Source organism: Homo sapiens, chromosome 2, assembly GCF_000001405.40.
Source record: "Homo sapiens chromosome 2, GRCh38.p14 Primary Assembly".
Taxonomy (NCBI): Eukaryota; Metazoa; Chordata; class Mammalia; order Primates; family Hominidae; genus Homo; species Homo sapiens.
Genome location: NC_000002.12, coordinates 42,681,975 through 42,698,172, shown reverse-complemented (window position 1 = coordinate 42,698,172; position 16,198 = coordinate 42,681,975). Strand labels below are relative to the sequence as shown.

Below are 16,198 nucleotides of genomic sequence, written 5' to 3'. Positions count from 1 at the left end.
AAACAAAATCTATAGTTTGAAAAGCTGCTAGCTTTCTGAAACACATTTGCTTCAAATAATACAGCATTTCATAGGTTTTCTGACGCTTTCCCTGCAGCTTTGATTTAATAAAAGTATAGTACATAGTACATTTCTTCCTCTAGTCTTCAGGTTAGTCTATTTGAGGTTTCTCTCACTGGCTCCTTTTTATTGTAGTGGTATAATAGTAAGTCTCATGCTTTGTAGAAGAAGAAAGATACACAAAAGTTCAAATTTTGCTGAAACTGAACAAAATGACATATTCTGCAATGATAAAATTAAGACCAAAACAAATATTTTAAAAGATTTCAATTACTTACTAGGTTGGGATATATACTTGTTTCAGTTTACTCTCAGCTTCTGCTGCTTTTAGACGTTTCTAATTCAAAAGATGAATAAAACATTTTACATGCAATGCCTAATTATTACTACTGTTCATTGTCTTAAAAATTCACAAGAAAATACGTATTAAAGTGTAATTCAAAAATTACCATCTTAAGCTTTTCTTTCATATGCATATTCTTAAACTGCAATAATGTCTAAGAAAAGTCACTAGATTCTGTGGTACACAACTTTAAGTATTAATACAATTTTAGGCATAGGTTTAAAAAAATAAAGCAATGAGCAACTCCATTTTCCATTCCTCTATGACTGAATAAACAGGACCTTTAAAAAGTAACCATTTTTACTTTCCAAATTTAGTTTCTACTTTATTACTTATTTGCCTCTCTAGAAGAAAACACACACACTCTCACTCTCTCTCTCTCTCTCTGCTTTTAGAAAAATATTCAGAGATTATTTATTTCCAAAATCCAGGCAAGAGGAGTGACTGTGGCTATTCTAAGTAGAACTAAATAAGCATTTATTCTCAAATGTTGGGAGATATGCATTAAACTTTAAACCTCAGCTGAATTCACATAATATTCTACTGGAACCAATTAGGAGCCATATGTAGGGAAAGGAAGGGGAAGGAGATTATATAATCAAATCCAGACACTGACCAACATGATAATGCAGGCAAATAGAGAAGTAAAATAACATATGGTTGATGTCCAAAAATAAGACAAACCAGAATATAAGGCTATCTTCTATTTTCCCAATGAGGAGAAAACAGAAATACTTAGGGGGACAACTTGAAACTTTTAGAACAGGGTTGAAGTTTTTGGAAAGAATATTATCTACTTTTCAACCATCCTTGATACCATCATCTCCATCTTTAGAGACTCTTTTTTAATAAAATAGGTTCCCAGACTACATGGTCTTGATCTATACCTAAGTTGTTTATAATAAGCACTTTTTGAATTATATTAATATTGACACTGGAAATTTTTCAACAAGCCATGAGTATCTATTCACTATTTGTGACCTCAGCAATTCACCATGGTACTTTTTGTTTTCAATTTTTATTTATTTTTAGAGACAGGGTCTTGTTATGTTGCCCAGGCTGGACATGAACTCCTGGGCTGAGCAATCCTCCTGCCTCGGCCTCCCAAAATGCTGGGAATATAGGTGCACACCACCATACCCAGCTCACTATGATACTTTAAAAAGTGATTCATAAAATTTTTTTATAGCATCTAATACTTGCCACTGTATAACCTACATATATAGGAAAAATAATGTCTGTGTTAAATATATTTGCCTTTTTATCAGTTCTAATATGTGCCTATACAAACATAACACAAGTATTGACCGATGTCATTTCAGGAAAATGTGCCTTTCCCCAGAGGTAATATTATTCAAAAAATAAGTAATTGAGAGTTACCTGAATTTAGGATATTTGAGAAGGACTCAAAAATTACATTTAAGAAAAAGCTTATGTACAGTACAAAAACACCATACTAGTAAGACTACTACATTTAAGGTCAAGGATTTCGGGGGTATAGCCACACAAATGTCATGTAAAGAGGTTTCAGAAGATCTTTAAAAACATATCAAATTATATGGCTGATGACATTGGTCTAAATACTCAATTCTTCATAAAAATAACTTGTTCAAGAGGTTTGTGTTAGCATCACATCTTTGATCATTGCCATGAACTACAAAGAGATGAAGGATCAGTCAAATGCAAGGAAAATAATGCCTCTCTAGTGGTATCTCTCCAAAATATTTATCATAATTCATGCGAAGTCAAGGAAATATTAAGATTAAAATCTTAAATAATATCCTAAAGATATGAAATCATGTAGTTTAAAGTAGTCTGGAAAAAGTAAGGTAAACAAATTTAAAAGTAGTACATCGCCAAAAAATATTAAAATATAAACAGAAAGTTCACTTAAATGCAACCATATTGGTAGCAATATGAAAAAAATTACCTGTTGCACATATCTGTCAGTAGTTTTCCACATGTAATAATATTCAATGATGCTAGTCAATGATTTCCAAGGAAGCTGAAAAAAAAAAAAATCAACCTATCATCTATGTTAACATATAATAAAATGAGATGAAAATAAGCTACTATAGAAAGTACTTTCCTTAAAAACCACCACTTTCTTTTTTTTTTTTTTTTTTTTTTTTTTTGAGATAGACTGTCACTTTGTTGCCCAGGCTGAAGTGCAGTGGCGCGATGTCAGCTCACAGCAACCTCCGCTTCCTGGGTTCAGGCAATTCTTCTGCCTAGCCTCCCAAGCAGCTGGGATTAGAAGCACATGCCACCATGCCCAGCTAATTTTTTGTATTTTTAGTAGAGACAAGGTTTCACCATGTTGGTTAGGCTGGTCTCGAACTCCTAACCTCAGGTGATCTGCCCGCCTCGGCCTCCCAAAGTGCTGAGATTACAGGTGCGAGCCGTCACACCTGGCCCTTAAAAACCACTTCTTTATTAAAATAATGAAGCAAATATCCACATGGAAGATTCATTCTAGAATATTTGAGAAATTTAAAATTAATCCTTAGCAAACGGTACCCCAAACAAGTCATATTCAGTATGGAATGTGAATACAACACATTCCATTTCTCATTCCGTTTATACATTTTACTAAAAATTATAAACATCATAACTGATAACATTTCTTTCTCTTTTTATTTAAGAGACAGGGTCACCCAGGCTGCAGTGCAGTGGCATGATCACAGCTCACTGCAGTCTCAACCTCCCAGGCTCTAGTGATCCTCCTGCCTCAGCCTCCTCAGCTGGGACTATAGGTGTGACACCATGCCCGGCTAATTCTTTTTTATTTTTTGTAGAGTTGGGGTCTCCCTATGTTGCCCAGGCTGGTCTTGAACAACTAGGTTCAAGGAATCCTTCCACCTCAGCCTCCCAAAGTCCTAGGATCACAGATGAGCCACCGTGACCAGCCCTGATAACATTTCATGACTTACTTGGGAAAGTTCTCAAGCTACAGGTGGGGCTGCAGCACTATTTTAGAAACGGCATTTAAACAGCTCTAGCCTGAGTTATTTCAGCTTCCAAAGATGGCAGCTATGACTGTGTGTCATCTGGTCTCTGCAAATCCTTGAAAGAGGCATTGAGGAAGACAGGAGAGACAGTCTCGTCTTGAATCGCTGATGCCACCCCTCTCCCATCCCCTGGCAGAGGCCTTGCAGTGCCAGAGTCTGTGCATATGGAGGAAGAACATCACAGTGACCAGGGGACTTTACATTGAACTTAGTGCTGCCCTGTGACAGCAGAGAATAAATCCATGCTGGGGTCAGCCAGTACCTGTGTAGGGAGGGAGAATCTGTACCAGACCTAGCCAGAGGGTAATCACCTATCCTATCGGTTGGAACTTGAGTTTCTCAACAAGCCTCATGACCATGGGCTGAAGTGCTCTGAGGACCTACGTAAACTTAGAAGACAGCCTAGGTACACAAGGACTTCAACTCCTAAACAACTCCTAGTGCTGGGCTGGACTCAGAGCCAGAGGACTTCGGGTGGCATGTGACCTAGGGAGACACCCAGGGTGGCTAAAGGAGTGATTGCACCACCCCTCTCCCAAACCTAGGCAGTACAGCTCAGGGGCAAAAATGTCTCCTTCCTTCTGCTTAAGGGATGGAAAGTGAAGAGTAAAGAGGACTTTGTCTTGCATCTTGGATACCTGCTCAGCCACAGTAGGACAGGGCACCAGGCAGAGTCGTGAGGCCCCCATTCCAGGCCCTAGCTCCTATACACATTTCTAGACACCATCTGGACAAAACAGAACCTGCTGCCTTAAAGGAAGGACCCAGTCCCTGCAAGATTCATCAGCTGCTGACTAAAGAGCCCATGGGCCCCGAGTAACCAGCAGCAATGCCTGGGTAGTAGTACACCATGGGCCTTGGGCTCTGAGATGTGCTGACTACAGTGTGACCCAGCACATTCCCAAGCACATTCCCAGCTATAGGTGGCTATGGTGAAAGGCTTCTTCTGTTTAAAAAGATGGAAAAGTAAAGGGATGTTGTTGTTTTGCACCTTAGTTACTGCTCAGCCACAGTGGGGTGGAGGAATAAGCAGGCTTTTGGGGTCCCCAGGTTCAGGCCTCAGTTCCTGAACAGAATTTCTGGACCTGCCTTGGGCCAGAGGGGAGCCCAGTGCCCTGAAGGGTGATCCCAGGCCGGACAGCATTCCCCACCAGCTGACTAAAATGAAGAGCCCATGGGCTTTAAGTGTACATTGGAGGTGGCCTGGCAGAACTACCCCCACCCCCAATAGTGGCTGGGTGTTGGTGTCCACAGGGAGGCCCCTCTGCCTGTGGAAAGGGGAAGGAAAAGCAGGAAGGATTTTATATTGTGGTTTGAGTCTCAGCTTAGTCACAGCAGAATAGAACATCAGGCAAATTTCTAAGGTTTTTGACTCCAATCCCTGGTTCTCAGACAGCATCTCTGGACTCACCAGGGCCTGGAGGAACTCACTACCCTGAAGGGAAGGACACAAACCTGTCTCACTTTGCCACCTGCTGATTGTGGAGCCCTAGGGCCTTGAGTGAGCATAGGTGGTAGCAAGTGAGCAGTTACGACAGGCATGACCCAGCACAGCCCCAGTGGTGGTAGCCACAAGAGTGCTTGTGTCACCACACCCCAGTTCCAGGTAGCTCAAGGGACGGGGTGTGGGGAGAGAAGGAAGGAGGGGGAGGGGAAGAGGGAGAGGGAGAGGGAGAGACACTGTTTCTTTGAGAGAAAGGGAAAAGAACAAGAGTCTGTCTGGTAATCCAGAGAATTCCAGATCTAATCTGAGACTACCAAGGGAGTACTTTGAGTCTGCAAAAACCACAGTGATATTGGGCTTGAGGCCCAAGTCCTTTAGAAAGCCTTTTCAAGAAGGACGGACACAAACAAGCCCAGACTGTGAAGACTACAGTAAATACCTAACTCTTCAATGCTCAGACACTAACGAACATCTACAAGCATCATCCAGGAAAATATGACCTCACCAAACAAAGTAAGTAAGTCAGGAGGGACCAATGCTGGACAAACAGAGACATGTGACCTTTCAGACAGAGAATTCAAAATAGCTGGCTGGGCACAGTGGCTCATGCCTGTAATCCCAGCGCTTTGGGAGGCTGTGGCAGGAGGATCACGTAAGGCCAGGAGTTCGAGACTAGCCTGGCCAACGTGGTGAAACCCTGTATCTACTAAAAATACTAAAAAATTAGCCAGGCATAGTGATGCATGTCTGTAATTGCAGCTACTTGGGAGGCTGAGGCACGAGAATTGCTTGAACCCGGGAGGTGGAGGTTACAGTGAGCCGAGATCACGCCATTGCACTCCAGCCTGGGTGACGGAACAAGACTCTGTCTCAAAAGAAAAAAAAAAAAAAAAAGAATTCAAGATAGCTGTTTTGAGGAAACTCAAAGAAATTCAAGATGACAGACAGAAGGAATTCAGAATTCTGTCAGATAAATTTAACAGAGACTGAAATAAAAAGAATCAAGCAGAAATTCTAGAGTTGAAAATGCAATTAACATGCTGAAAAAATGCATCAGAGTCACTTAATAGTGGAACTAATTAAGCAGAAGGAAGAATTATTGAGCCTGAAGACAGGCTATTTGAAAAACACCCAGTCAGAGGAGAGAAAAAAGCAAAGAATAAAACCAATGAAGCCTGCTTATAGGATCTAGAAAATAGCCTTGAAAGAGCAAATCTAAGAGTTATTGGCCTTAAAGAAGAGGTAGAGAAAGAGGGGCAGGAAGATTATTCAAAGGGATAATATTAGGGAATTTCCCAAACCTGGAGAAAAATATTAACATCGATATTCAATAAGGTTATAATCAAACTCCCAAAGGTCAAAGATAAAGAAAGAACCTCAAAAGCAACGAGAGCAAAAACAAATAACTTATAATGGAGTTCCAATACGTTTGGCAGCAGACTTCTCAATGGAAACCTTACAGGCCAGGAGAGAGTGGCACGACATATTTAAAGTGCTGAAGGAAAAGACCTTTACCCAAGAATAGTATATCCAGTGAAAATGTCCTTCAAACGTGATGGAGAAATAAAGACTTGCTGACAAACAAAAGCTGAAGGATTTCATCAACACTAGACCTGTCCAATAAGAAGTGCTAAAGGGAGTTCTTTAATCAGAAAAAAATAGATGTTGGTGAGCAAGAGGAAATCATCTGAAGGTACAAAACCTGCTGGTAATAGTAAGTACACAGAAGAACACATTGAGTATTATAACACTGTAATTGTGGTATGTAAACTACACTTGTCTTAAGCACAAAGCCTAAATGATGAACTAATAAAAAAAAATAACTACAACTTTCCAAAACATAGTACAATAAGACACAGAATCAACAAAAAGTTAAAAAGGGGAATGAAGTTAAAATGCAGTTTTCTAATTATTAAGTTTTAGGGGGGGATGTGTGTGTGTGTGTGTACGATGTTCTAAGAGGTGATTACTACATATTGCATGCCTGTATCAAAGTATTTCATAGGCCGCGGTGTGGTGGCTCACGCCTGTAATCCTAGCACTTTGGGAGGCTGAGGCAGGCAGATCACAAGGTCAGGAGATTGAGCCCATCCTGGCCAACATGGTGAAACCCCGTCTCTATTAAAAATACAAAAATTAGCTGGGGCTGGTGGCATGCGCCTGTAATCTCAACACTTTGGGAGGCCGAGGCGGGCGGATTGCTTGAGGCCAGGAGTTCAAGACCAGCCTGGCCAACATAGTGAAACCCCATTTCTACTGAAAATAAGAAAATTAGCTGGGCATGGTGGTGTGTACCTGTAGTCCCAGCTACTTGGGAGGCTGAGGCAGGAGAATCACTTGAACCTGGGAGGTGGAGGTTGCAGTAAGCAGAGATCGCGCCACTGCACTCTAGCTTGGGCAACAGAGTGAGACTTTGTCTCAATAAATAAATAAATAAATAAATAAATAAATAAATAAAATAAAAATACAAAAATTAGCTGGGGTTGGTGGCGTGTGCCTGTAGTCCCAGCTACTCGGGAGGCTGAGGCAGAAGTATCACTTGAACCTGGCAGGCGGAAGCTACAGTGAGCCAAGATTGCGCCACTGCACTCCAGCCTGGTGATAGAGACTCTGTCTCCAAAAAAAAAAAAAAAATTAAATTAAAAAATTTCATGTACCCCATAATTATATACACCTACTATGAACCTGAAAAATCTAAAAATAAAAATTAAAAAAAGAAAAAAATGTTTAAAAAGAAAATGGCTAAGAATTACTCAAAATTAATGGAAAACAAAAAAACAGCTCTAGGATGCTCAGAGAATTACAAATAGAATAATTACAAAGAAGAACATACTCAGTCACACTGTGGAAGTAAAAATGCTAAAAACCAAAAGTAGACAGAAAATTTTGAAAACAAAGAAAAAGAAACATCACATCATAGGAACTTCTCATCAGAAACTAGGTACATCAGATAAAGAGACAGCTTTACAGTACTGAAAAAGAAAAGGATAAAAGTGAATTACATAAAAAATGAAATATGTTTTAAGTAATAGCAGAGTTTTTCAAGCAAAGCTGAATTCATCGTTGTACTGCCATTAAGTGCTTATATTGGAAGAAAGATTTCAAATTAATGATGCACGCTTCAATCTTTTTGTTTGTTTGGTTAACTGAGATAGTGTAATGCTATGCTGCCCAGGCTGGAGTGCAGTAGCTATTCATTCACAGGCATGGTCATAGCATGCTGCAGCCTCAAAATCCCAGGCTCAAGTGATCCTCTCGCTTCAGTTTCCCAAGCTCCCAAGTAGCTGGGACTACAGGGTGTGTTACCACATCTGTAGCCCTAAGCTTCAATCAATAAGAAGATACTAGGAAAAAAAAAAAGCAATTAAGTCCAAAGCAATGTAAAGGAAAGAAGTAATAAAGACACAAGCAGAAATCACTGAAACAGAAAATAGAGCAAAGTCAATCAAACCAAAAGCTGGATTTTTTTTTTTTTTGCAAAGTTCAACAACACTGATAAACTCCTAGCCAGACTGATCAAGAAAAAAGAAAAAAAAAAAAAGACACAAATTATCAGTATCAGGAACGAGAGAGTAGATGTAAATACAGATCCATGCTACAGACCATAAAAGGATAACATGAGAAAATTCTAAACTCCTATTATAAACATCTTTATAATAGTAAACTAGACAACTTAAGATAAAAGGGACAAATCCTTTGGAAGACAAACTACCAAACTCACTCAAGAAGAAAGAGGTAACAATAAAAGACCTGTATCTATTAAACAAAATGACTTCACAGTTTTAAAACCTTCCAAAAAGAGATGACTTCACTAGTGAACTCAACCAAACATGTAAGGAATAAGTCTACACAAACAGTTCCAGAAAACAGAAAAGAGAATACTTCCCAACTCATTCTAAGTAGCCATCATTAGCCTGAAATAAAACCAAAAATATTACAAGGAAATCAAAAGATCTGTATTAATCATTAACATAGATTCAAAACAACATGTTCCACACAATAAATGTATATTAAGTCTTAGTTTATCAATTTAAAAAGATAAATTTCAAAAACACAGATGCAAACATCCTTAACAAAATACTGGGAAATCAAATTCAGCACTGTATTAAAACAAACCTCATGACCAAGTGGAATTGATAGCCAGGTACACTGGTTGTTTTCAACAATCATAAATTAATCAATGTTATTCACCATATCAAAAGACAAAGAGATAAACATTCCATAATCACAACTGATGCATAAAACACATCTTACAAAATTCAACATCATTCATGATTTTTTTAAAAACTCTCAAAAAATAAGAATAGAGAGGAACTTGCTCGTCATTAAAAGATACATACAAAAACAAAACAAATTACAGTTGATCTCACATGTAATAGTAAAAAAATGAATGAATTTCCCCTAAGAACAGGAACAAGAAAAGGATGTTGCTCTTATCACTTCTTTTGAACACTGTATTGGAAATACTAGCCAGTGCAATAAGGCAAAAATAAATAAATAAATAAAAATAAAAGGCATTCAGATGGGAAATAAAAACAAAAACTGCCCTTTATGTGCAGACAGCATGACTGTCTATGTAGAAAGAATCTACCAAAAAAACCGACTATAACTACTGCAAGAGATTCACAAGGCTGCAGAGTACAAGGAGGATATATAAAAGCTGCAGATTAGGAGAGAATGTTACAAAAAAAAAAAAAAAACACTTGAATGCAAAATACATAACAAACTCTCAAAATCAACAAACAAAAGAAGCCCACTTTTAAAATAGGCAGAAGATTTTGAAAAACATTTCACATCAAGGACATATGATGGGCAATGAAACACATGAAAAGAGGCTTATCATTAGTCTTCAGGGAAAATGCAAATTAAAACCGAAATGAAATGCTACTACAAACCTATTATAATGGCTTTTTTAAAAAATGACAATAATGTGTCAGGTGCAGTGGCTCACGCCTATAATCCCAGCAACTTGGGAGGTCAAGGCAAGAGCATCATTTGAGCCCAGGAGTTGGAGACCAGCCTGGGTAGCATGGTGAGACTGCATCTATACAAAAAATAATAATTAAAAGAAAGTTAGCCAGACATGGTGGCACAACATGCCTGTAGTCCCAGTTATGTGCAAGGCTGAAGCCAGGAGGATCACCTGGGCCCAGGAGTTTGAGGCTGCAGTGAGCTATGATCATGCCACACCTGTTTTAGTGGTCCTGTTTTTCTAACTGAATCCTGACTGATAAGCGAACTGTTTTCCCAAGTGGCTGTATCAATTTGCATTCAAACTAGCAAAATACGACAGCATGAGCTGGAGCCTACAAGGATGGGAAAAACCCTTGTCAGTAGCGACTGCCTTTGACCCTGATGGTATGCATGTTCTGCAGAAACTAAGGCTTTCTTCATGGTGCTAAACACACAAACACACACCTTGCCCTGGAGTCAGAGATGAAGAAGGGGGATCCTAGGGAAAATAGAGCAACTGCAGTCCCAGCATTGCCTCATGCCAACAAACTGGGCCAGCAGATAAATGAGAACACATATGAGCTACAAAAATGGCTGGTGCTTCATTTCTGCTCTCCAAATCCTGCACTAGAATTTCTCATGGCCCACCCTAAAGGGCAACATACCGGGAAGGGAATTCTGGAAAATGTGGTTCAGTCTGGCTACACTGATATGTTATAAAGCTAACAAAGGTAGTTTCTTATAAAGTTAAACATATAGTTATCATGTAAGACCCAGCAACCCCACGGCTCATATTTCCCAAGAGAAACAAAAACTTAAGTTCACTAAAACTAGCATGCAAAATGTTTATAGCAACTTTATCCATAATCATCAAAAATCAGAAACAATTCAAATTCCCTTCAACAGGTGAATGAATAAACTGATTGTGGTACATTCACACAATGGAATAGTACTACTAGGCAGTGAAAATGAACGACTGATATATGCAGCAACACTGATGAATACCAGATGCATTATGTTAAGTAAAAGAAACCAAAATTAAAAAGTTACATACTACTAAACGATTCTACTTACACAGTGTTCAGAAAAAGGCAAAACTATAGGGATGGAGCATAAATCAGTGGTTGCCAGGATTAGGGCTAGGGTATTGTTGACTATAAAAGGGGAGACTTGACGGGAGAGGTGATGAAACTGTACTGTGTCTTGATTGTGGTGATGAGTTTTGTTTGTTTGTGGAGACAGAGTCTCATTCTAACACCTAGGCTAGAGTGCAGTGGCGCGATCTCAGCTCACTGCAACCTCTGCCTCCTGGGTTCAAGCAATTCTCATGCCTCAGCCTCCTGAGTAGCTGGTATTATAGGCATGTGCCACCAGGCCCAGCTAATTTTTGTATTTTTTTTTTTTTTGTAGAGATGGGGTTTCACCATATTGGCCAGCCTGGTCTCAAACTCCTGGCCTCAAGTGATCTGCCCATCTCAGCCTCCCTAAGTGCTTGGATTACAAGTGTGAGCCACAATGCCCAGCCCTTTTTTTTTGAGATGAAGTCTTGCTCCATCACCCAGGCTGGAGTGCAGTGGCGTGATCTCAGCTCACTGCAACCTTCACTTCCTGGGTTCCAGCGATTCTCCTGCCTCAGTCTATCGAGTAACTGGCATTACAGGCCTGCACTAGCATGCCCAGCTAATTGTTTTGTATTTTTAGTAGACACAGGGTTTCACCATGTTGGCCAGGCTGGTATCGAACTCATGACCTCAAGTGATCCGCCCGCCTCGGCCTCCCAAAGTGTTGGGATTACAGGCATGAGCCACCATGCCCAGACTGTTCTTTCTTTTTTTTTTTTAAGAGGCAGAGTCTACTATGTTGCCCAGGCTGGTCTTAAACTCCTGGGCTCAAGTGATCCTCCTGCCTCGGACTCCCAAAGTGCTGAGATTTCAGGTGTGACCCACCACACCCAGCCTGTGGTGATGATTATGGGAGTATGCATTTATAAAAACTCACAGAACTTTAACTGTAAAAAACTGTAAAGGAGTGAATTTTACTGTGTATAAATTTTGAAATAAGTTAAATTAAGCTTCGGAATAAAGCTATCGCTAACCACTAAATATAAAAATATCTATACCCAAATATGTGCCTTCTACACAATTTGTTCTTAAATGTACAAACACACAATAATATATGCATTCACTTGGGAAAACTAAGACACTGGAAGCAGAAAATAATCAATGATCACTTTTGGGTAGTGGGATGAAACCACTTTAAAAAACTCACCATTATGACACAGTTGCTCAGTGCTCAGGTAAAGGTCTAGTATTTAAGCAGAGGAGGCCCAGGAGACTTTTTGTTGCATACACTACCTGACAGTTTCTAAAAGGACACTTCTTAAAACTTCATGTCATAAGAAATACATTGCCCCAACAACATCATGTACCTGTGATGGCATTATAGGAAATAACATTATTTGCATTTTATTTTCTACTAGGTTTATACATTACTTTTATAAGTATGGAGGGAAAGAGGGGATGATAATTTAAAAACAACAACTACCACAAAAAACACAAAACCCTTTGAGCAGTTAACACTCTGACATTCTATCCTGTTTATTTTAAGGGTTTGACACAAGTAGCCAATTCCAGTCTCCAAAATACAACAAATCTAATATGGACTGGCCCTTCAAGACTGGCCCTTCAACAACCATGACCTAAGGGGCAGTCTGCAGGGTTAAGATCCACATTTCCCAGACTCCCTTGCATCTAAGATTCTGGGTATAATTTAGGTTGCATCATAGATGCACTGGCAAGAGAGATGGATTTCGTACTAAAGGCACCCTGCCGGTGGGGTTCAAGGGAGAGACAGCACGTTGGAGCCACAGGTAGAGTGTTAGCTTCCTACTTCAGCAGTTAGGTTTCTAATCACAGCAGGGACGGCAGTATCCTTAGCTGGCCCATTCTGAAGTGTGACTTTCAAAGTCACAATCTTGGAGGCCCGATCTGATGTCTATTTCTTCATCTTCCCTAGTACTTAATGTTTCAATAAGCTCTCTATTGAAACAAGCTAGGGTAAAACAAAAGAAAAACTAATATATACCATGCTACAAATCTGTAATTTTGTTAGACCACAAAGACAACAAAAAAATCATCTAACAGTATTATTACTGTTATACTCATTTTCATAGTTAATTTTATCTGATACTGATGCCAGCCTCTATGTCCAAGTATATTGCACTAACCTACAGTTCACAGAGTTATCTTCTAGTCCTGTGTTAAGTGCCTAGGAGTGCTGTAAGTTTCACACCTCAGTGTTTACCTTGCTATCTGCTCTTTTCTCTCTTTACCTATTAGAGACCCAGCTAAAATGCCAGTTAACTCCATGAAGCCTCTTCCACTTTGGCACAAGGAATCCTTTTTAATATTCCTATACACTTGTTCATGTACTGACAGAAGTAATTAATTATATTTTACTTGGGTGTATATTTCAATCTCTTGATTTTAACTGTGAACTAATTCCTTGAAGTAAGGACCACATTCAATTTTTGTTGCATGCCTAGTGCCTTTTTGCAAGCCTGGCATGTTACAGGTACTCAGTAAATACCACCAGAGCACAGAATGAGGTATTACATTTGGTGCAGGGAAAAGTATTTTCACTTTAGTGTTTCTCAACTCCTACTCCTTTATCAGATCTGCAGGTTTTATTTATCTTTTTTGAATTTTCATTGAGCCTCACAGTGTAGATTTGATTTGTTAGGTTTCATTCTTTGCAATTTCTATGTAGCTGTAGCTCTATTATTTTAATAACTGTTATATTAATAACACTGCTCTATTGTTATTCTGACCATCTGAAGCTAAATACCAATGCACTTTAAATTTTCAGCTGCGCATCCTACAAATTTAAATCATGGCATGTAACAATTTAAGTATGAGTGAAGTTTTGCCAGAAGAACAAATTATCAGTGACACTAACAGTTTTAATTACTATGTCTGGGATTTAATTTATCAGCCCATATTGGTAAGTAATAACTTTGTGTCAAACAATTCAGTAAAGATGCAGCAACATAAAAGGCAGGCTATTGGCTCACATCAAATACGTAATGGTCTATAAAGATTCTATTTTCATAATTTAAAATAAAGGATGACTTCATAGAAAGCTATTTATGAAAATCTCAAATGGAAATTTCACCATTTCAAAGGAACTATAAGTTTAACTAAAGACAGTAAGTCCATAAACACAAAGACAAAACAAAGTACATACTATAGTTAGACAAGATGACCTGGTATTTACCCCACTGCATGGGGTAAGTAAGTGAGGTGATGAATGTGTTAATTGTGGTAATCATTTCACAATGTATATGTATATCAAATCATCATATTGTATACCTTGAAAATATGTATTTTCTACTTGTCAATTATACCTCAGTAAAGCTGAGGAAAAAAAAATTTTTAATAATAAAAAATATACATAGGATACTCAGGGGTCCCCAACCCCCAGGTCATGGACTGGTTAGGAACTGGGCTGCACAGCAGGTGTTGAATGGACAAGCGAGCGAAGCTTCATCTGTATTTACAGCCACTCCCCATTACTCCCACTGCCCCCTGAGGTCTGCCCCGTCAGATCAGCAGCGGCATTAGATTCTCACGGGAGCATGAACCCTATTGTGAACTGTGCATGCGAGGGATCTAGGTAGCGTACTTCTTATGAGAATCTAATGCCTAATGATCTATCACTATCTCCCATTACCCCCAGATGGGACTGTCTAGTTGCAGAAAAACAAGCTCAGAGGTCTCACTGATTCTCCATTATGGTGAGTCGTATAATTATTATATATGACAATGTAATCATAATAGAAATGAAGTGCACAATAAACGTAATGCACCTGAATCATCCTGAAACCTCCTTCCACCCCCAGTCCATGGAAAAACTGTCTTCCACAAAACTGGTCCTTGGTGCCAAAAAGGTTGGGGACCACTCCTCTACATCATTAAGAAGAATCAAAGATCAAAAGCCCATAAAACAAATTCTCCTACTGTGCTTAGCAGAGGTCATTTCATTAAGGGTCCAGATCAAATTCAGGCTCAACAATTAGTAAGACAACTAGAAAAATACAGAAAGCTTAAAGCAGAGCAACTAGTCTAAAAGCAGAGATCAGACTGTTTAGCGCAAATGGTGAGAAAAGCTGACCAGATTTTAACTTGGAACTCAGAGAGAAGTAAATAGGATAAATTAATATTGCCAAGGTTTACACCAAAAACACAGGACTTCCTGATAGTGTAGGGGTTTTTTTGTTTTGTTTTGTTTTTGACACCAAGTCTTGCTCTGTTGCCCAGGCTGCAGTGCAGTGGTGCCATCTCGGCTCACTGAAACCTCCACCTCCGGGTTCAAGAGATTCTCCTTTCTCAGCCTCTTCAGTAGCTCGGGCTACAGGCACGTGCCACCACGCCCAGCGAGTTTTTTATATTTTCAGTAGAGATGGGGTTTCACCACATTGGCCAGGCTGGTCTCGAACTCCTGACCTTGTGATTCACCCACCTCGGCCTCCCAAAGTCCTGGAATTACAGACGTGAGCCACCGTACCCGGCCTGATAGCGTGGGTCTTACTACAACTACTCCTCCAAACAATTATCAGTTTCTCCCTTTACAAGACTAACCTTCATTTTACTTTGAGCAGATAAAAACTATTAACTCACAAACTTGCTAAATGAATACTGTAAGGTTTACCAGATTTCTAAAACAGAATATTCCCATCTCAACATTTTATTTTACTCATAATTTTCTACTTACAAAATCTTGCCGTATGTCATTGAAGTCTTTGCCATATTTTTCCAGTGCCTCTTCAAATAAGCTAGCTTCAGAGGCTGACCATTCCTCCATTTCATCTCTGCATAAAACAGGTCCTCCGAGTGGTACTAAGACACTAATGGCACTGCTCAAATCATAGCTGTGTCTATACAATGTATCCATAGCGTGAAACTAAAGAAACAAAATGAACAGAAAATATCAACCAGAAATGCAAACATGCTACATTATGTAAGAATATAAACACTAAAATATATGATGTACTTAATTAACAATATACTTATTTATTTTTTAACAAAATTTTAAACAGATTACTAAATAATTATTTAAGATATCATTTATTGCTTTAGAAAATGCTGACTTGTACCCTTATTTGGGGGGAGGGGAGCACAGGGTATCCCTCTATTCCCAGGCTAGAGTGCAGCAGCAGCCTCAACCTTCTGGGCTCAAGCAATCCTCCTGCCTCAGCCTCCTGAGTAACTAGGACCACAGGTATACGCCACTATGACTGACTAGTTTTTTTATTTTATGTAGAGATGGGGGTCTCGCTATGTTGCCCAGGCTGGTCTCGAACTCCTGGGCTCAACTGATCCTCCCACT

The 16,198-nt window shown here is 39.3% G+C and overlaps 1 protein-coding gene across 6 annotated transcripts in view; it reads right to left on the bottom strand.

Annotated features, from left to right (window-relative positions):
* MTA3 (metastasis associated 1 family member 3) overlaps positions 1–16,198 on the bottom strand; it is a 262,837-nt gene that overhangs the window by 58,774 nt on the left and 187,865 nt on the right. For 5 of the 6 annotated variants that reach the window (NM_001282755.2, NM_001282756.2, NM_001330442.2 and 2 more), the window contains 3 exons: positions 15,584–15,772; positions 2,334–2,408; positions 339–397 (listed from right to left, as the gene is read on the bottom strand). In NM_001282755.2, coding sequence (NP_001269684.1) covers positions 339–397; positions 2,334–2,408; positions 15,584–15,772 — 323 coding nt within the window. The remainder of the gene's footprint in view (positions 1–338; positions 398–2,333; positions 2,409–15,583; positions 15,773–16,198) is intronic. The other variant, NM_001330444.2, reaches the window with a different exon arrangement.